The sequence below is a fragment of the Homo sapiens genome, chromosome 4 (assembly GCF_000001405.40).
Source record: "Homo sapiens chromosome 4, GRCh38.p14 Primary Assembly".
In the NCBI taxonomy this organism is placed as follows: domain Eukaryota; kingdom Metazoa; phylum Chordata; class Mammalia; order Primates; family Hominidae; genus Homo; species Homo sapiens.
The window spans coordinates 169,017,451-169,038,002 of record NC_000004.12 but is presented as its reverse complement, the minus strand read 5'-3'; the positions used below and the strand labels follow the sequence as shown (position 1 = coordinate 169,038,002).

Sequence of the window (20,552 nt, the reverse complement as noted above, 5' to 3'; positions counted from 1 at the left end):
AATACTTATAGGAAAGAAGTGGACAATATACTTAAAAATGTGAGAATCCGTATGGAAAACAGAACTTCATTAAAGAATTAGATGGAATTAAATGGGTTAAGCTCATCAGAAAAAAAAAAAAAATTAAAGGAAAAGGCTATTCTTACCAGGGAATGAAGTCTCTGCAGAAATTGATTATGTAGAGAGTCCCTTTGGGTCTTGGAACAATTAGCTCTCAGAAAATTAGAGGATAGCCTTTGGCTTCTGGGGATTCGAATGTAACAGGTGTCTGCTGTCCCTTAGGAAATTCTTCACTCCTTCTAGCTGCTCATTTTTTGGCTGCCTGCCCCTGCAGGGTAAACCCAAACCCCTGAGAGTTAAAGATTTTGAGTCATAGAGAACCTGAATAATTGGATTCTCGGAGGGCATTACTTTTGCAAGATTCCGCCACAGATGTACTTCTGGGGTGTTTTCTGTGATAGAAAAAAGAAATCCCTTCTCCTACTGAGAAAAGACAACAACTAAGAGGCCGTATTTCCTACAGTGGGTAACGGAGAGGAGACAATATTTGTTTCTGTCCCTGTACTAACCTCATTCTTAGGACAGCATGAACACTGGGGGAGGTGACTAGGCCTCCGTCTTTCAGATACCTGAGAAAAGTGAAACGTGATCTCTGTGGTGATTCAGGTAGAGTTATTAGGCATGGACAGAAAGCAGGGAGTGCACAGATGCCTTTGTGCAAAGGAGAGTGATTTTCTCATTTTACCTGCTGAGAAAGAGTAGAGGTATTTATGCCAGGATGGGTGTTATTAAACAGATGAAGGACAATCTGACAGAGTTAATTAAGGATCTTGAGTGTCAGGATCCAGAGAAAGAGATATCTCGTGTAGGAGGCAGGTATGGGAAAGGTAAGTCCGCAAGGGAGGGTGAGTGCTTTTCCCACAAAGGGGAGGCAGCACATTCTTGCTTCAGGGTGAAGGATACAACACATTCTGAAATGAGGTTTGGAATATTGTGTATTTTTAGCTGCTGCTGTGAAAATTCCTCCTAAGGAGAGAGCCATCTTTGGGGAAATTGCCTCTCCAAGTCTCCCTGGGTAGGGGCTGAGCCTCCAGGGTTTGGCTAGGCCAAGGCCCAGCTCTCAGAGGCCAGGGTGAGGTAAGGCTGCCTGTAGAGGATGGAACCTGGGAAGAAGGGGAAGAAAGAGATAGAAAAAGGCTTCCAGAGGGACCTGGGTATGAAATGACTGGGTCTACGCGGGATGTGACTCCTCTCTCTGGCTCTTCAAATCTTCATAATAATCAAACTGACAACATGTTTGGTGGAAATAGATTTTTTTTTTTTAAACCAGTGAAGTTGGGCCCCTAGAGTAGAACAGAGATACAATGTGTGGAAGTAGGGTCTGGAGCAGAGGACCTCTAAAACCACTATGTCTGTGCTAGGGACACAGGAACCATAGTGGGCCCCACCCAATATCTGAGTTTCAGAGTAAAACAAAATGAGGCTTTGAGTGTGCTGTATTTTAATATGTGGTTGCAGAGATCAACACGCAGCAGGAGAACCACTTTGCAATATAAAAATCTGTCTCCAGGCTGGGCGTGGCGGCTCACGCCTGTAATCCCAGTGAGAGGTGACAGCGTGCTGGCAGTCCTCAAAACCCTCGCTTGCTCTCGGCGCCTCCTCTGCCTGGGTTCCCACTTTGGCCGCACTTGAGGAGCCCTTCGGCCTGCCGCTGCACTGTGGGAGCCCCTTTCTGGGCTGGCCAAGGCCAGAGCCGGCTCCCTCAGCTTGCAGGGAGGTGTGGAGGGAGAGGCACGAGCGGGAACCAGGGCTGTGCGCAGCGCTTGCGGGCCAGCTGGAGTTCCGGGTGGGCGTGGGCTTGGCTGGCCCTGCACTCTGAGCGGCCAGCTGGCCCTGCCGGCCCCGGGCAGTGAGGGGCTTAGCACCCGGGCCAGCGGCTGCGGAGGGTGTACTGGGTCCCCCAGCAGTGCCAGCCGACCGGCGCTGTGCTCGATTTCTCACCCAGCCTTAGCTGCCTTCCCGCGGGGCAGGGCTCGGGACCTGCAGCCCACCATGCCTGAGCCTCCCACCCACTCCATGGGCTCCTGTGCGGCCCGAGCCTCCCTGACGAGCACCACCCCCTGCTCCATGGCGCCCAGTCCCATCGACCACCCAAGGGCTGAGGAATGCGAGCGCACGCGCAGGACTGGCAGGCAGCTCCACCTGCAGCCCGGATGTGGGATCCACTAGGTGAAGCCAGCTGGGCTCCTGAGTCTGGTGGGGATGTGGACAGTCTTTATGTCTAGCTCAGGGATTGTAAATACACCAATCAGCACCCTGTGTTTAGCTCAAGGTTTGTGAGTGCACCAATGGACACTCTGTTATCTAGCTGCTCTGGTGGGGCCTTGGAGAACCTTTATGTCTAGCTCAGGGATTGTAAACACACCAATCAGCACCCTGTGTCTAGCTCAGGGTTTGTGAGTGCACCAATCGACACTCTGTATCTAGCTGCTCTGGTGGGGCCTTGGAGAACCTTTATGTCTAGCTCAGGGATTGTAAATACACCAATCAGCACTCTGTATCTAGCTCAAGGTTTGTAAACACACCAATCAGCACCCTGTGTTTAGCTCAAGGTTTGTGAATGCACCAATCGACACTCTGTATCTAGCTGCTCTGCTGGGGCCTTGGAGAACCTTTGTGTCCATACTCTGTATCTAACTAATCTGATGGGGACGTGGAGAACCTTTGTATCTAGCCCAGGGATTGTAAATGCACCAATCAGCACCCTGTCAAAACAGGCCACTCGGCTCTACCAATCAGCAGGATGTGGGTGGGGCCAGATAAGAGACTAAAAGCAGGCTGCCCGAGCCAGCATTGGTAACCCGCTTGGATCCCCTTCCACACTGTGGAAGCATTGTTTTTTCACTCTGCAATGAATCTTGCTACTGCTCACTCTTTGGGTCCACGCTGCTTTTATGAGCTGTAACACTCACCGCGAAGATCTGCAGCTTCACTCCTGAGCCCAGGGAGACCATGAGCCCACCGGGATGAATGAACAACCCCAGACGTGCTGCCTTAAGAGCTGTAACACTCACCGTGAAGGTCTGCAGCTTCACTCCTGAGCCAGCGAGACCACGAACCCACCAGAAGGAAGAAACTCTGAACACATCTGAACATCAGAAGGGACAGACTCCAGACGCGCCACCTTAAGAGCTGTAACACTCACCACGAGGGTCCGCGGCTTCATTCTTGAAGTCAGTGAGACCAAGAACCCACCAATTCCGGACACACCAGCACTCTGGGAGGCCAAGGTGGGAGGATCACCTGAGGTCAGGAGTGCGAGACCAGCCTGGCCAACATGGTAAACCCCGTTTCTACTACTAAAAATACCAAAATTAGTGGGGCTTGGTGGCGGGTGCCTGTAATCCCAGCTACTTCGGAGGCTGAGGCAGGAGAATCACTTGAACCTGGGAGGCAGAGGCTGCAGTGAGCCACTGCATTCCAGCCTGGGCAACAAGAGCAAAACTCTGTCTCAAAAAAAAAAAAAAAATCTTGAGTGGTGATTCTTACTTAAGTGCACACATTGGCACTTCTTTATTTTGAGGGAACTGTGGTAGTATCTATCAAAACTTAAACTAGGAACAACCTCCAACTCAATAACTGCCTTATAGAAACACTCAAATATGTGTATACTTCAAGGAAACTGCCTTATAGAAATGCTCAAATATGTGTACAAACACATAAGTGCAAGGAAGTTGTTTTGAAGCATAAATTGTAAGAGCAAAACCTTGGAAATAACCTGATTGTCCATAAATAGGGAAATAGTCAAACTGATTATTATACGATTATGTAATCTTCAGTATACTAATTTTTTTTTAATTGGGGCAAAATTCACATAACATAAAATTAACCACAAACCATTTTTAAGTGTACAATTTAGTGGCATTTAATACATTCATAGTGTGCAACTGAGACAGCCAAATGCTTAGGCAGATAAGAAGGGGTCCCCAGAGAATCTCCAACCTGCCCCACAAGTGTTTACATCGGATGCTTTCGTGCAGATGAGGGACTCTGCCCAAAGCTTTGTCTGGGCATGCCCACAGTGGACTGGAGCTCCACATGCGCACTGGGGGAAGTGGGTGGAGCCATGGGGAATTGGCACCCTACACAGGGGAGGAGCCTGCTCTCCCAGGTTCCTGTGTGGTGGCCAGGGATTCAGTCTGTGAGGTGGACGGCATGTTACAGGTCTCCATCTCACTTTGCTGAGTGTTTTTTTTTTCTTTTTTTCCTTTTTGCCCAATAAAGTCCTGCTCTACTCACCCTTCAATGTGTCCGTGTGCCTAAATTTTCCTGGTCGTGTGACAAGAACCTGAGATTTAGCTGAACTAAGGAGTAAGGTTCTACAATACAACCATCACCTCTCTTTAATTCCAGGACGGTGTTATCACTCCAAAAGGGAGCCTCATACACATTAAGCAGTCACTCCTCATCACCCTTGAGAAATGATTTCTTGAATTTTTGAGACAGGGTCTTGCTTTGTTGCCCAGGCTGGAGTGCAGTGGTGCAATGATGGCTTACTGCAGCCTCAATCGTTCAGGCTGAAGCGATCCTCCCACTTCAGCCTCCCAGAGTAGCTGGTATTACAGGTGTGTATCACCATGCCCAGCTAATTTATCAATTTTTTGTACAGATAGGGTCTTACTATGTTGTCCAAGCTGGTCTTGAACTCCTGGCCTCAAGCCAGGAGTTTCCCAAAGTGCTAGGACTACAGGTGTGAGCCACCATACCTGGCTGAGAAAAGATTTTAAATGTCAGAATAGTATGAACAGTGTCACCCTATATATGTATGAAAACCCTCTAAACTATGTCCTATGTTTCCGTCTACTGACAGAGGCATTGCAGAATAGTGGTTCTAGGCAGAGCTCCAGAACCAGGCCGCCTGGCTTTCAAATCCTGGCCCTGACACAGACCAGCTGTGCATCACTGGGGGTGTGTTTAGCCTATCTGTGCCTCTGTTTCCACAGGTGTAAATTGGGCATAGTTGTGAAGAGGAAATCAGTAAGGACAAGCCTAATACAGTCACTGTTTAGTATACTTACTTCTGTGTTTGAAGTTTTCTTTTTAAAGTCAAAATCATGGGCAAATAAACCTATTGCCAGTGTAGAACACACATTCCTAGACTACTCCCTTTCAGGACACCAGGTGAGGGCTACCCCCCATCAGTGCTTGCCTCTTGCTTAAAGCTAAGGCTGCAGGGAGGATGCATATTTTCACGCCAGCACAGAGCACACTTTAAATCTCCTCAACAGCGTGGCAGAAATGCAGGCTTTAAAGAGCAACAAAATCCTGACTGACAAGATTCAAGGGAAGTACCTGATCAGGGAAGTACAAGTACAAGATTCAGGGAAGTAACTGAAAAATGTAAGTTTTAAGACTTACATTTGACTCAAGGGCCAGCAGGCATTTCAGACAGCAAGAGGGAGGGTCTCTGTGAAGGTGAGATACCCAAAGAAGAAGGAACAGAGGGAAGAAGGAAGGAAAAGGAAGAAGGAAGAGGGGAAGGAATGGAGAAAAGAAGAAAAGGAAGAAGGGAGAGAAGGAGGAAGGAAGGAGAAAGGAAGGGAGGAAGGAAGAAGGAAAGAAGGGAAGGAGGAAAGGGAGAAGAAAGGGAGGAACAAAGGAAGAGGGTAAGAAAAAGGAAGAAAGGAAAGAGGAGAGAGAGGGAATAAGGAAGGAAGAGGAAAAGAAAAAAGGGTTAAAAAATAAGTTAGGATGAAGGAAAGGAAGAAAAGAGAAGGTGAGGAAGTACAAGGAAACAGGTGAGCCCCAGCCCTGCTGTGATTTCAGTTCTCAGATCTAAAGTGTTCAAGTAAAAACAAAGCACAGGCATAGCCTTCTTTTTTTTTTTTTTTCTAGATGGAGTCTCGCTCTGTCACCCAGGCTGGAGTGCAGTGGTGCGATCTCAGCTCACTGCAACCTCTGCCTCCCGGGTTCAAGCGATTCTTCTGCCTCAGTCTCCAGAGTAGCTGGGACTACAGGTGTGCGCCACCACACCTGGCTAATTTTTTGTATTTTTAGTATTTTTAGTAGAGATGGGGTTTCACCATATAGGCCAGGCTGGTCTCGAACTCCTGACCTCGTGATCTGCCTGCCTCAGCTTCCTCAAGTGCTGGGATTACAGGCATGAGCCACCGCGCCTGGCCAGCACAGGCAAAGCCTTTCAACCAAAAAATCAAGGGAGAACTAAGAGAAGTATTTGCGATTTCAATTTTTTTCTACTGAGTCCTAATCTAAATGGAGGTCAGAAACTGGACAATACAAAGCTGCCATGCGTCAAGGATGGAACAAGCACAGCCGCGGCCAAGCTCGCACATTCCTAGGTGCTTTCCAGGATGCCCCTCCAGGGTGCGTGCGGTGGCCTCCAGGATGCCCCTCCAGGGTGCGTGCGGTGGCCTCCAGGATGCCCCTCCAGGGTGCGTGTGGTGGCCTCCAGGATGCCCCTCCAGGGTGCGTGCGGTGTCCCAGCCCCCAGAGGTGCCTGCGGAAACTGTTGCAAGGGTGATCCCCTGATAAACCTTTCACTTTGTTTCTGAATCGGAACACAGCCCCAAGCGGACTTGGGGCTGCTGGGCTGCCAGGGGTTTTTAAATATTTAACAAGGTTTGGAGGCAGTGAGCACAAAGCTCAGGTCCACCCAATTTCTTAGCAGAAGGTGGAAATGCAAGTATGGAATTGTCTTGCAGAAAAACGCAGTTTTGAACTTCTGTCTTTTCAAAGACAATATTTTAAAACTCAAATGCTACGAAACTACCAGATAATGAGGTAGTTAGATGGAATTTTGCTAGCATATATTTGCAAATATTTTAAGAATGCTTTGTATGCTTCTGTTGACTTAATGAAGTGATTGAAAAGGGTTAAGCCGTGTTTGGTATCTTCAAAATGGCGATTTTGCTTCTGATAACTTTCCGGAAAAATTAAAGGTGTTGTGAAGGATAAATTATAGTTTGATTTGAGTCGTCTTGTTAAAACGTCATTCCTCTTTCTCAGCAACCTACTTCCCGTCTTATTAAGCCAGTTGACTAGATAGGTCTAGGCAATTATGACGATGATTTACTATCTTCATGCTCCATTGTCACTGGGAGCCAAGGGATGGGGGAAGGGAATTCACATTCCCATCTTACGTGTCTCTTGGAGGGACAATCAAGTCCTCAGCTGTAGCGTTAAACACAGCAATAGAAAGCAGAGACACAGTAAAGCATTTTCACTGCTCTTATGAGCTGAGATATAAAATGAGATTTATTTGCAACAATCTGATAGAGAAAATTGAGTCCTGAGAATTGATGTCCTAGAAAGGCTTTCAAGTCAGCCAGGAGTTACTACAGGACGTGAGTCACACAGCAAAATATCAAAGAGTTGGAGGAGAAAAAAAATTGAGCTTTGACATTTTCTGCAGCCGCTGTTAAAGAAATTGACCAATGTGTACAATACGAATTATGGTCACAATTACAATCTTCTCCGATCCAGTCTTTCCTAACAGTTGGATACCTTGGATCCTTAGATTGATGTCATCATTCAGCTTTTTGCTTTTTTAAAATATTCAGTTCTACTGCAGATGGGATGCTAAATAAACAAACCCCCTAAATGGCTCTCTCCTTTCCCCCCAGAGGTTTAATCCTTATAAATAACTCCGAATAATTGTGATGTATCTTCTGGCATTTCACATATTCTGAAAATTACCATTGAAATTTGAATTTAATCATATAATAACCCCCAAATATATTTTAAACTGAGAGTATAAACTAGAAGTTTTGGTGTAATCTCATTTACTCAGGAATTCATTTAGTGGCCACTATTTGTCATGATTTTAATGTGGGTCTGACATTGGTAGGTCATGTTCGGAGTGAAGATATCTGCAGTTTTTCAATTTGCATAATCCAGTTAGTGCTTCCAGAATGTCTTCCATGTCTCTTCATGTTTGCAAATTACCAGAGGTCACAGGTAAAATTTTAAAACGTGAGAGTTGTTCATGAACATACTCGGGCTTTGTCAAAATCAGGATATCTCCCTTCCCTTTGTAGTTTACTTTTTTTTTTTTTTTTTTTTTTTGATAAGTAATGGGTCTGAAGCTTCAGGACACAAGATGACCAAAACCAGTTTTTCTGCTGGGCCCTCTGAATTCTACCCAAGATAATGCTACACATTTATATAACGCCCACACCTGCTTATGCTGCAGTAATTCTTTCAAAAGTTCTAGCAATTTGGACTCCTCTTTTTATTTAATTTGGGGATTTAGTCGCTAATCTACAGTTACTTCTAGAAATAAGCAGATGACTGCTTCAAAAAGCAAAAACTTTCTGACACCTTTTATTACCCTCTAGATGAAAATGAGGACGGTAATAACTTTCAAAGGTAACTGATACACTCAATGGTGGCTCACCACCTCATTTCAGACAACCAGGGGGGCTCAGTGCACAGCTGCTCTTTTATTCTCTTCCAAGAGAGTTTGTGTAAGAACTTTGCAAGCATTTCCTTTACAATTTGTCTTTCTGGGAAAATTGCATATGGCGTTGGTATAACTTGCTTAATAGTCACAATTTATTAATTTCATCATTTTTTCTCAAGAGAGGTAGAAAAAAATGACTAATCGTGTGGTGGGTGACAGAGAGTCTTTCTTTGGACCATAAAAGGTAACTGGATCAAGTCCCCAAACAATGTTACTGACTTAAAAATTCACATCTGCACTGTATTTATAGTTACCTTATTTTTTGACCCATTGCTTATGCTTGAACAAGACTCTTTTTTTTTTCTTTGAGACAGAGTCTTGCTCTGTCACCCAGGCTGTAATACAGTGGCACAATCACGGCTCACTGCAGCCTCCATCTGCAGCCTCCATCTCCTGGTCTCAAGCAATCCTCCCACCTCAGCCTCCCTAGTTGCTGGGACCACAGGCTCATGCCACCATGCCCAGCTAAAAAACAAAACTCCCCGCGCCGCCTCACCAAAAAAACAAAACAAAACAAGGCTCTTAAGTTCAATTTTCTAAGTAAAAATTTGTGAAACTATTTTTGTTGTTTCATTACCATTCGTTTCTAAGACCAAAGGATACATATTGTTCTCTGCTTTCTTCTCCCTAAAGCCAAACTTTTTTTTTCTTTCTTTCTATGGTTACGTCACGTTAATTTTTTTTTTTTGAGACGGAGTCTCGCTCTGTCACCCAAGCCGGAGTGCAGTCACACAGTCTCAGCTCACTAAAAGCTCCGCCTCCTGGGTTCAAGCGACTTTCCTGCCTCAGCCTCCTGAGTAGCTGGGGCTTCAGGTGTGTGCCACTACACCCAGCTAATTTTTGTATTTTTAGTAGAGACAGGGTTTTACTATGTTAGCCAGGCTGCTCTTGAACTCCTGACCTCATGATCCGCCCCCCTCCACCTCCCAAAGTGCTGGGATTACAGGCATGAGCCACCACGCCCGGCCATGTCACGTAAATTTTAATGAGACGAAATATCTATCAAGCTTAAAATCATATGAGAAATTTGAAGGAAAATGATTGTAGATTTTATTCGGAAAAGATACTCTGAGTCATCAGTTATTCCTTTTTTTCTGATTATTAAGGCTGATAAAAAAAAACCTCTTTATTTTGAAATATGTATGGGCTCACAGAAAGCTGCAACACTTAACACATAGAGTTCCATGTGGTGACATCTTATATAACCATAGTACCATATTAAAACCAGTAAACTGGCGTGGAATAACACTAGTAACTAGAGTATAGACCTTACTCTGCATTCTCCAGTTTTTACATGCACTCATGTGTGTGTGTATTTATAGTTCTATGCAATTTGACCCCAGTTATAGATCAGTACATAATTACTGTTGTAGCTAACACAACAATTAGGATACAGAATTGTTCCATCAGCACAAAGGAACTCCCTCATTCTACCCCTTTGCATCCTCCCTCTGTCCGCTGTTCATAATCCCTGGCCACCACTAATCTGTTCTCCATCTCTACACTTTTGTCATTTCCAGGATGTTCTATAAATGGAGTCATACAGTATGTAACCTTTTGACATTGACTTTTTCACCCAGCATAATGTCCTTAAGACCCACCCAGTTTGTCGCATGTATCCATAGTTTATTCCTTTGCGTGGCTGAATAGTATTCCACCGTATGGATATGCCAGAGTTTGCTTAACCATTTGCCCTTTGAAAGACATTTGGATTGTTCACAGTTTTTTTGCTATTACAAATAAAGCTACTATCAGCATTCATATACAGACTTATTCTCTGTGTATATGAGCATAAGTTTTCATTTCTCTGGGATAAATGCCCAAGAGGATATGATTGCTAGGTTATGTGGCAAATGCAGATTTAGTTTTATGAAAAACTGTCAAGAAATTTTCCAGAGTAGATGTACATTTTAAACTTCCACCAGCAGTATAGGAGGGGTCCAGTTTTCCCACATCCTCGCCAGTAACAAACTTTTTAGATGAGTAAGTGAACATGAAAACATTGTGAGATGACAAAGGCCACATATAGACTGGGCAAAGTATGTGAAAGGAGATATTTGGCTTGTATATGATCCTCAGACCACTTTTTCAGGAGAGATGGCAGCAACATTTGCTGTAATATAAATTTCCCCTGCTTTTATCAGCCTGTAGCCATGAATCAGCAGTGGCTTCAAGTGTTAGAAAACTCAACTACAGCCATTTAAGCACATGGGGCTATTTTCCTCACAGAACAAGAGATGCAGAAATCAGCGACTGCGGAGGCTTAAAGATGATGGCTGCTGCTGCTGTTGCTTCAGGAATCATGTTCACATTCCTCCAGGAAGAAGACAGAAGGAGAAAAGGCAGTGTTTCTATCACAGAAAAAAAAATTGTTTTTTTTTTTTTTTCAGGAACACCACTAGTGTTCTGTTTTGGTCATGTTGCCCAGAACACTGCCTCAGATCCCCTCATGGCTGGAACAACATGGTAGGGAGAAGGGCCTTGGAATGCTGACTGGGTCAGGAATTCACTATTATCTGCCACAGGGGACCGTCAACATTAATGGTCAACCTTTGCCAGCTTAAGGCTTCCCCCAGTGATGCATGGCCTCATCTTATTGTAATGTCCTCCATCGTAAAGCATTTCTGGGTATTTCTATGGGGTATCTCACTTGTGCTTATAAGCAAAGTCCGGTCCCACTGCTCAACACCATTGTTCTCTGCAGGTCCTTGTGAGGTACAATGTTATCTGCAGGGCCCTCCCCTCCCCTAAGCTTCCGCCCTGGTCCTCTGGTTGTCACCATGGAGGAACTAGAAAGTTCACGCAGTTGGGGCTGCATTCCTTGCCAAAGTGGGGAGAGAGCTCTCCCCCCTGCTTTGGGCACTCTTTGTCATGCTCTGTGCCATGCGTTTCATGACTACCTTTCTGAACCCATTTCCTCACTTGAGCTTATGAACGTTCACTCTTCATTGGTTCATACATTGTCCATGGGGCTGGACAGGTGACCAGACACAAGGCCATCCGTTCCACTGATAATGTCTTTCTCATTCTTACATTCCCACAAAAGTACAACCTAACATGCCATTTCTTCTTTTCTTTTTTTTCTTTCTTTCTCCTTTCTTTCTTTCTTTCTCTCTCCTTCCTTCCTTCTCTCTCTTTCTTTCTTCTTCCTTTCTCTCTCTCTCTCCTTCCTTCCTTCTTTCTCTCTTTCTTTCTTTCTTTCTCTCTCTCTCTCTCTCCTTCCTTCGTTTCTTTTTATTTTTCTTTCTTTCTTTTTTTGAGATAGTCTTGCTCTGTCACCCAGGCTGGAGTGCAGTGATGCAATCTTGGCTCACCACAGCCTTGATCTCCTGGGCTCAAGCAATCCTCCCACCTCAGACTCTTGGGTAGTTAGTACTACAGGCGCCACCACACCCAGCTAATTTTGGTAGAGACGGGATCTCCCTATGTTGGCCTGGCTGGTCTTGAACTCCTGGGCTCAAGCAATCTGCCCGCCTCAGCCTCCCAAAGTGCTGGGATTATAGGCATGAGCCACCGTGCCTGGCCTAGCATGCTCTTTGCGTGGCAAACCAGCTCATGCAAATAAACAGCTGTGTAGGGGACTTCGCCAGCCTCACCTGTCCAGACGTGAATCTCAGTGTAAGCTAAGAAAAGACCAACTGTGCACACTGTCTTCCTATTGGATCGCCTGTGTGAATTCAGTTGGTCTGACTGAATCACTAACTCCGTCCTCCCTCACTGCTCACTGTTTCTTTCCCTGGTGTTTGTTTATGTTACAATTAAAAATGACTGTTTTCCAATCAAGGATGTAGACCCAGTTAGAGCTTCTTTAGATTCCAGTGGGACAAAGGAAGCTCCCTGTTTTATACTTGGTCTTACCCAAAAGGACAAGAAGTGATCCCTCCTCTTTTCATTGCTGCCTTTTTGGCTTAGCGCATGCAACAGCAGTTGGGATGTGTGTTAGTTACCACGAAAATGCCAGTTGCTATAACAAAGAACCTGATAGAACAGAGATTTAAGCAAGAGAGAAGTTTATTCTCTCTCAGGTCTCAAAGCTGATATGGGACCTCTACCATGTCAAACATCCAGCCACCCATGCTGTTGTTACTCTGCCATACTCAACACACAGCTCCAATCCCTGTGTCCAGTATGGCTGCTCTGGCTCTCACCATCATGTCTATAACTAGCCAGCAAGAAGGTGGAAAGTAGAATAGAAGGAAATATTTTTTTCCTTTTATGGGCATGACCAGGAAGTTCCCACACAATTTTTGCTTAAATCCTGTTAACCTGACTTTAGAAGCATGGCCCTACTTAGCTGTAAGGGAGGTGAGGCTGGGAAGTATGGTCTTTATTCTGGATATTCTGTTATCACAACAGAATTATACACTTTCAGCATCTAGCAGAATCAGGTACAATGTCCTCTAGATTTGGGGCCAGACAGGAATGCTACAATTTTGGGTGGTGGTTCTCAACCAGGGCAATTTTGCTCCCCTCTACCCCACTCCGCCCCCATCCCCTTCTAGGAGACATTTGGCAATGTCTGGAGATATCATTGTTTGTCACAACTGTGAGGATGTACGTTACTGGCATCTAGTGGATAGATGCTGCAAATATTCTGTGGTGCACAAGACAACCCCCAACAACAACAAAAATTATACATCCTAAAATGTCAATATTGTTGAGTTTGAGAAATCCTGCCTTAGGAATCTATCTTTACAAAGTCTTAGCCCACCACATGTTAATCTCTCTCAGCTTTCATTTGTGGCTTTTCCAATACAATTTCTGAGATTCAGGCATATCAATGTGCTTCCAATAAATCAGAACTGTAAGACACTGTTAGCTCTGTTTGCCATAGGTCATTTTAACAAGAAAATGAAACTTTTTTGACCCCTATCCATAGTTCCACGACCACCATTACTTACCCAGCTTTAGTTCTGAAGAGAAAGGTTTCCTTCTTTGGGTTTTCTGAAGCTATTTAATAATATACAATAACCCACTAATCCAGAGTAAAGAAGAAATCTGTTCAATTAAAGGCAAGTGTAATTGTGTATAATTAATCATAGTCTTCTTAAGGGAAATAAACATAATTTGTTTTTAGTAAGAAGGAATCTATAATTATTCGGTGACAGAGGAAAAACCATTCATTAATATATCATGTTTACTTTGAATGTAGTGAAATGCATTGTAGTTTTTGCTGTTAGTTTTAGGCATGAAAAACTGTGTGTTAAATCTTGTCATTTCTGGTTCTGATAATCTGCTTTGATGACAGATTAAAAATGCAGTTTGTCATATCAGGACATTAATCTTAAATAATCTACCTGAGAGAACAGTACCAAACCCTCCGGAGAGGTTTCCAACATGAGATGGTGACACTTCTTAATAAGCTCAGGATTAGTGATGTAACTTGTCACTGGTTCAGCTGGAAAAAGTAGAAAAATGACACAGTTGCTGCAGTGACCACTCAGGAGTTGTGTTCTATAAATCTGGAAAATCAACTTCTGGAAATTCTCCCCTGAGATGAAGATGTACTGTGTGTCAGCCATGCATCACAGAAATCTTTCATTATTTTAGGTTGTTATTTAGACATCATATATTTTTCTTGTGGACAGACACAAGCATACTGTTCTTCATTTCCTATTCTTCCGGATCTGAGCACTTTCCTTTTGGGTTCATAGGACTTTGTAATTAACTCTCTTAAAACATCATTTCACAGGGAGTCACGTGCTACCTTTGCATTTTTATTCCATTTCTACCTATTTTATTTTTCATATCTTTGTTATTTGCCTTTCCAATGAGACAGTGTCTTGAAGAAAATGTTTATTTCTTTTATTTTGTTTATCCCACAACATTTAGTACAATTCCTTATATGTACTTATATGTACATCGTTATTGATTGTCGTGTTTTCCTTTTGTTTAATATCATGGCTATAACTGTGCTCTTGTCACGAGTAGACTTAAAAACCATTGTAAGACTGCATGCAATTACACTGTTATTATTATGATGGAATACAAAAGAATTTGGAACACAAAAGAGTAGAAAGGCCGGGCGCGGTGGCTCACGCTTGTAATCCCAGCACTTTGGGAGGCCGAGGTGGACGGATCACGAGGTCAAGAGCTCGAGACCATCCTGAGCAACATGGCGAAACCCCGTCTCTTTTAAAAATACAAAAATTAGCTGGGTGTGGTGGTACATGCCCGTAGTCCCAGCTACTTGGGAGGCTGAGACAGGAGAATTGCTTGAACCCGGGAGGCGGAAGTTGCAGTGAGCGGAGATTGCGCCACTGCACTCCAGCCTGGCGACAGTGGAAGACTCCATCTAAAAAAAAAAAAAAATTGTAGAGAATAAAAGATCGGAATGTTGTGTGACTGTGATGTATTTTAGGTAGGGAACTAAACACACATATGTATATTAAAACAATATACAGAACTTTAACTTGTTAATAATCTCTCTCTGCTTTCATTTTGTGCTTTTCTAAGAAAATTTCTATTGTATCAGCAGATATAACAAATGATCTACCTGGTAAGATCATTTAATGCAAAATGTGTCTGAAATATTAAGCTTATGTGGCAATGAATGAAAACTTTTTAATATCCTTGCTCATTTGTGACATAGAAGAACATGCAGAGCCTTTGGCATCCAGGCAAAGACTCAAGCCCCTTGTCACACTTCACCACTTACTGTGTGTCTGTGAGCAAATTACTGTAACCTCAACTAGCTTCATTTTCATTGTGTGTAAAATGGAGATTATGATACCTTCCTTTGAAAAATTAAATTAAATAAATTATCATATACATCACCTAGCACACTGCCTGGCAGTGTCAGAGTTCTTGGGACACAAGCAATAGAAACCCACCCCGCCAAACTTAAATGAGAAAAGCCCATTTATTAGAATAATACTGGGGACCTCACAGAATCAAGGAAGAGTTAAACAACTCAGTTTCAGAACTGGGGGACTCTGGGCATCTTCGCAGCAGGAAGTCCTGACAGCTTTCTGGGTACAACATCTCCATGGATGACTGGGCTCATCTTCAACCACTCTTGGTTCTTCTTAAGATGTATATTTTTAGGAGAAAGATGCTTATTTCTCTGGACTAGGTTACCTGATTTTTCAAAGGCTGGAGGGTTGGGTTAAGTCACTGGCAGCCTCACTAGATCATCAGGAAAGTGGGAGTGGAATTCTCTAGCCACTGGACTCCAGCCTGGGTGACAGAGTGAGACTCTGTCTAAAAAAAAAAAAAAACCAAAACAACAAACAACAACAACAACAACAAAAACAGCCTTCTATGGCTTTCTATTTTCTTTAAGATAAACACCGAAATCTGCAATGTGTCCTATGAGGTTTAGCATAATCTGACCTATGCTTAATCTCTTTTCCTCATCTTATAGTTTTCTATTCCCTTCTTTCTCAAGCTTCAGGCACATTACTGAGGTTCAGTTTCTGGAATAGTTTCCATCTGGGTCATTATGTAGCCAGGTGCCTAGACCTCTCTTCTCCACATTTAACAGCTCCTGCCCCACAGCTTTCTTCACCTGATTAACCCTTTCTCATTCACCAAGACTCAACTTAAGTGGAACTTCCTAGGGAGTTTCTCCTGATTGCCCAGGCTAGGCTAATTGCCCATTATTCATTTCTACGGCCCCTCCACCTGCACTTTCTTTTCTTAACATTTTTCATAACTATAATCACTTGTTCAGCACACATCTTGCAGCATGAGGGGAATAACTGCGGTTCACTGCTGTCTTCCTTGGCTCTGCCACAGTGAAGGGAGTGCAACACATTCTCACCATGCATCCGTGGGCTCAGGTCTTCAGATATATGAATCCCCCAGATTAACAAAGACGTGCTAATTAAATATTAATTTAAATACTTGAACACAGCTGATCACATAGTTTTATTTATTATTTATTTATTTATTTATTTATTTGAGATGGAGTCTCACTCTGTCGCCCAGGCTGGGGTGTAGTGGCGCCATCTCGGCTCACTGCAACCTCCACTTCCCGGGTTCCAGCGATTCTCCTGCCTCAGCCTCCCAAGTAGTTGGGATTACAGGCGTGTGCCACCAAGCCTGGCTAATTTTTTTGTATTTTTAGTAGAGATGGGGTTTCAGCAAGTTGGCCAGGCTGGTCTCGAACGCCTAACCTCAGGTGATTCACCAGTCTTGGCCTCTCAAAGTGCTGGGATTGCAGGCGTGAGCCACTGTGTCCGGCCATCACATAGTTTTAGAGTTAGTCTTCTCCTCATTGATGTGGACCTGTGTTGTGATTTTTTTAAGCGTGAAATATCTGTAATATGAAGTATACATTTTCTGCTACTAAGTTATTCTTAGATCATGTGATGAAATTAAATATATTGATATTTTGTGGTGCGTCACAAAAAATTCCATGTCCTTGACAATGGAAACAATAGACACTGGGGACTTCTTGTGGGGGTTGGGAGGGAGAAGCGGGACAAAGGTTGAAAAACTATTGGCTGCTATGCTCACTACCTGGTGGATGGGATTATTTGTATCACAAATCTCAGCATCATGCAATATACCCATGTAACAAACCTACACATGTGCCCCCCAAATCTAAAATAAAAGTTGGACTTAATAAAAAAAGAAGAAAGAAAATTATATTTCACAACTGTATTGGTATAAAGGTGAATATATTAATATTATACATTAGACGTTTTGTCCAACCTAAAAGAAAAAATAAAAGTATTGGTTAAACACAAAAATAGGCCAGATACGGTGACTTACACCTGTAATCCCAGCCCTTTGGGAGGCCGAGGCATGCAGATCGCTTGAGTCCAGGAGTTCGAGATGTGTTTGGGCAATATAGTGAGATCCTATCTCTACAAAAAAATACAAAAAAATTAGCCAGGCATGGTGGCATGCGCCTGAGGTCCCAGCTATTTGGGAGGCTGAGATGAGAGGACTGTATGAGCCCAGGAGGTCAAGGCTACAGTGAGCCAAGATTGAGCCACTGCACTCCAGCCTGGGTGACAGAGCGAGATCCTATCTTGAATAAATAAATAAATAAATAAGACAAAAATAAAAAATAAAACAAAGCGAGAGGAAAGAAAAACATTCCATGTCTTCCCTGTGTCATCTATGCTATTGCTGTTAGGCTGGTGTGTGTTAACATCTCTTCTTCATAGATACGATGAGGATGAGACACCCCTATGGTGATTCATGTCCAATACACACTGCTTTGCATGTGTATCTATTTCTGTTGGATTCACCACTTCATCAATAGCTTCAAAACGTCTCCCAGAATTCCACATAAGTCCAGACTTGTGCTAAAAAGGAAAATGAGGATGTAATAGATGCTAACAGGGAAATACGCTTTATTATGTTATTCTGAGGACTGGAACTTTAGAAATATATTTGAGGATAATCTTTTACAAATAAATAAACTTGTTCAGGTTGAACCCTCAGACCTCAGATATATATTTTTAATACATTGATTTGAAAGAAATGGAAGTTAGAAGCCAGAATTTATTGATTTATTTACTTTTATTATTATTATTTTTTTGAGATGGAGTCTTGCTCTGTTACCCAGGCTGGAGTGCGGTGGTGCGATCTCAGCTTACTGCAACCTCCGCCTCCTGGGTTCAAGTGATTCTCCTGCCTCAGCCTCCTGAGTAGCTGGGATTACAGGCACGTGCCCCATGCCCGGCTAATTTTTGTATTTTTTTGTAGAGACAAGGTTTCACCATGTTGGACAGGATGGTCTCAAACTCCTGACCTGAAGTGACCCACCCACCTCGGCCTCCCAAAGTGCTGGGCTTATAGTCATGAGCCACCATGCCAGACCCAGAATTGTGACTGACATATTTTGTGTGAGATACAAGAAGTAAGGAATATCAGAAGAAAAACAAAAACAGAAGAAAATGTTTTCTGACCTGAGAAACCAGAATAATAATATAAGGCAAGTCTCTCAATAGTGATGGCTAAACTATGGCTGTCTGATGCATAAGTCCAGAATGCCTATTTCCTATTGAAAGGAGGTGCTACTAATTATTAATAATTGTAAGGCGATGGCATCGTGCTAAGTATTTTATATAGGATCAACCTATCTTATGGCTGTCAATAACCTCATGCCAGTATTATTTTCCCTATTTTTTGCATAAAGAAATCTTAACCCAGAGAGTTTAATAACTTGCCCAAGATTACACAGCTTGTGGTAGAGCCAGAATTCAAATTCAGTAGACTAAACCCAGAGTTATATATGATGCTATATTGCCAGTTTTATATATATTTATGGAATTTTGCCTGAAACAGTTAGAGTGTATGTTGTGAATGAAAAGTATTCATGTTGTCATCTGTCACTTTTTTTATTTTTGGAGACAGGGGGTCTCTGTCTGTCACCCAGGCTAGAGTGCTGTGGCATGGTCACAGCTGACTGCAGCCTAGACCTCTTGGGCTCAAGCAATCCTCCCACCTTAGTCTCCCAAGGAGCTAGGACCACAGGCACGCACCACTACACACAGATAATTTTTCAATTTTAATTTTGTAGACACAGGGTCTTTCTGTGTTGCCCAGGCTGGTCTCAAACTCCTGAGCTCAAGTGATCTTCCCACCTTGGCCTCCTGAAGTGTTGGGATTACAGGCGTGAGCCATGGTGCCAGGCCTCTGTCACCTTCTAAGCCAATTCTTTTCAACTGATTTATTCCATCTCTATTTAGTAGAAGGGAAAAAGGATACATTCCATAGTTTTGGTTAAGGATCATCTACTTTATACTCATTTATTTAAAATTATTGTGGTTTAATGGCTAGCCTAGTAAATTAGCCAAATAAATTAATATGTCATTTTTAAAAATAAGGTGAATTTTGGCCCATTTTTTCCCACTCATAGGTTATATAGGGACCCATAAATATGTACTCCTCAACTCAGTAAGTTAAGCAAATTATGAGTATTACTTGCCAGAGGGGACTGATTCATATTCCTTATAGGATTGGTGTCTGTTTCACTTCTTAAAAATTCGTATCTCTCTCCTCATACATTATCACCTCCTCTTCCATTTCTCTTCATATTATTATATGTTGGGTGCTGGTTCTGGGACTCACTACTGGTTACTTGGAACAAAACATTTACAGATTTCATGGGGCATTGAGCTCAGCTAATAATATTTGAAAAAGAGAAAAAGGCAGTAGTCTGTTAAGGAGACTAAATGGTGTACATGTTGCATTTAAAACAGAGCTTATTTTGAGCAAAGATCCCCTAGGGGGATGCTGCTTGTATGGTGTATCTGATCTGCTGGGGAGCACATGCCCAGCCAAGCCTCCTTTAATAAGGCCGCCCACACTGAGCCCCTGTGGCAATGGTGCTTGGCTGCGGGTGCACCTTCCGCCTTTGAGCACCCCACTCACTCACATGGCAACCTGCCTCCCCCGAGAACTGCTCTCCACAGGCGCTAATCTATCCCCTCATTAACAACCAATCCAATTCTCTGTCTTGAACAAAGGGAGTCAGAGTTTAATCCCTTGAACTGAAAAGTCCTATGGGGCTCAGCCATTTTCAACTGTGTGATTAGTAAATAAAGTGGGTCTGCAGGAAGGAGAAATTTAAAACAGAGGACAGCAGAGAAGGGGGCTCTTACGGCCTCAGAGAGCATTAAGGGGGCAGAGGGATGTGCTGCTGTGGTCCCTGGGGCTCCCAATGAGGCCCATCTCTAGTTCCACGGGGTCCCAGCTTGCTTTTTGTTGATGTCATATTCTGCATCATAAACACATATTTGAATTGCTTTCGAGGGCTTCTCTTTCTTGCAGCCAAAAAAGAATCTCAACTACAATTACAACTATCTAAAGTCAGTTTCCAGATTTGGATTTATGTGTATATGGTACATTTTCAGGATTCCTGGGAAGATGAGGGAGAGACAATATCATGTAGTGGTTGGGGAGAAGGCTCTGTAGCGAGACTGCTTGAGTAGAAATTCTACAAGTTCTGCCACTTACTAGTTGTGTGATCTTGGACAATCTAACATCTCTGTGCTTTGGCTTCCTTGTTTGCAAACACAAGGGTAGCAATATTTTTCTACATCATAGTTTGCTGTGAGAATTAAACACAAGTAGACAGTGTACTTGGCACATAGCATTTAAGTTA

At 43.2% G+C, this 20,552-nt stretch overlaps 2 annotated features.

The window, feature by feature from the left end:
- Nucleotides 2,961-4,160: an enhancer, noted in NCBI's record as "MED14-independent group 3 enhancer chr4:169954994-169956193 (GRCh37/hg19 assembly coordinates)". NCBI's record gives its function as "activates an origin of replication core promoter dependent on BRD2, BRD4, P300/CBP and CDK7 cofactors, and independent of MED14, by STARR-seq in HCT116 cells {active_cell/tissue: HCT116}" and the evidence as "EXISTENCE:reporter gene assay evidence [ECO:0000049][PMID:35650434]".
- Nucleotides 19,792-20,292: an enhancer, noted in NCBI's record as "NANOG-H3K4me1 hESC enhancer chr4:169938862-169939362 (GRCh37/hg19 assembly coordinates)". NCBI's record gives its function as "activates a minimal SCP1, AML or CMV promoter by ChIP-STARR-seq in primed H9 embryonic stem cells {active_cell/tissue: H9 hESC(primed)}" and the evidence as "EXISTENCE:reporter gene assay evidence [ECO:0000049][PMID:30033119]".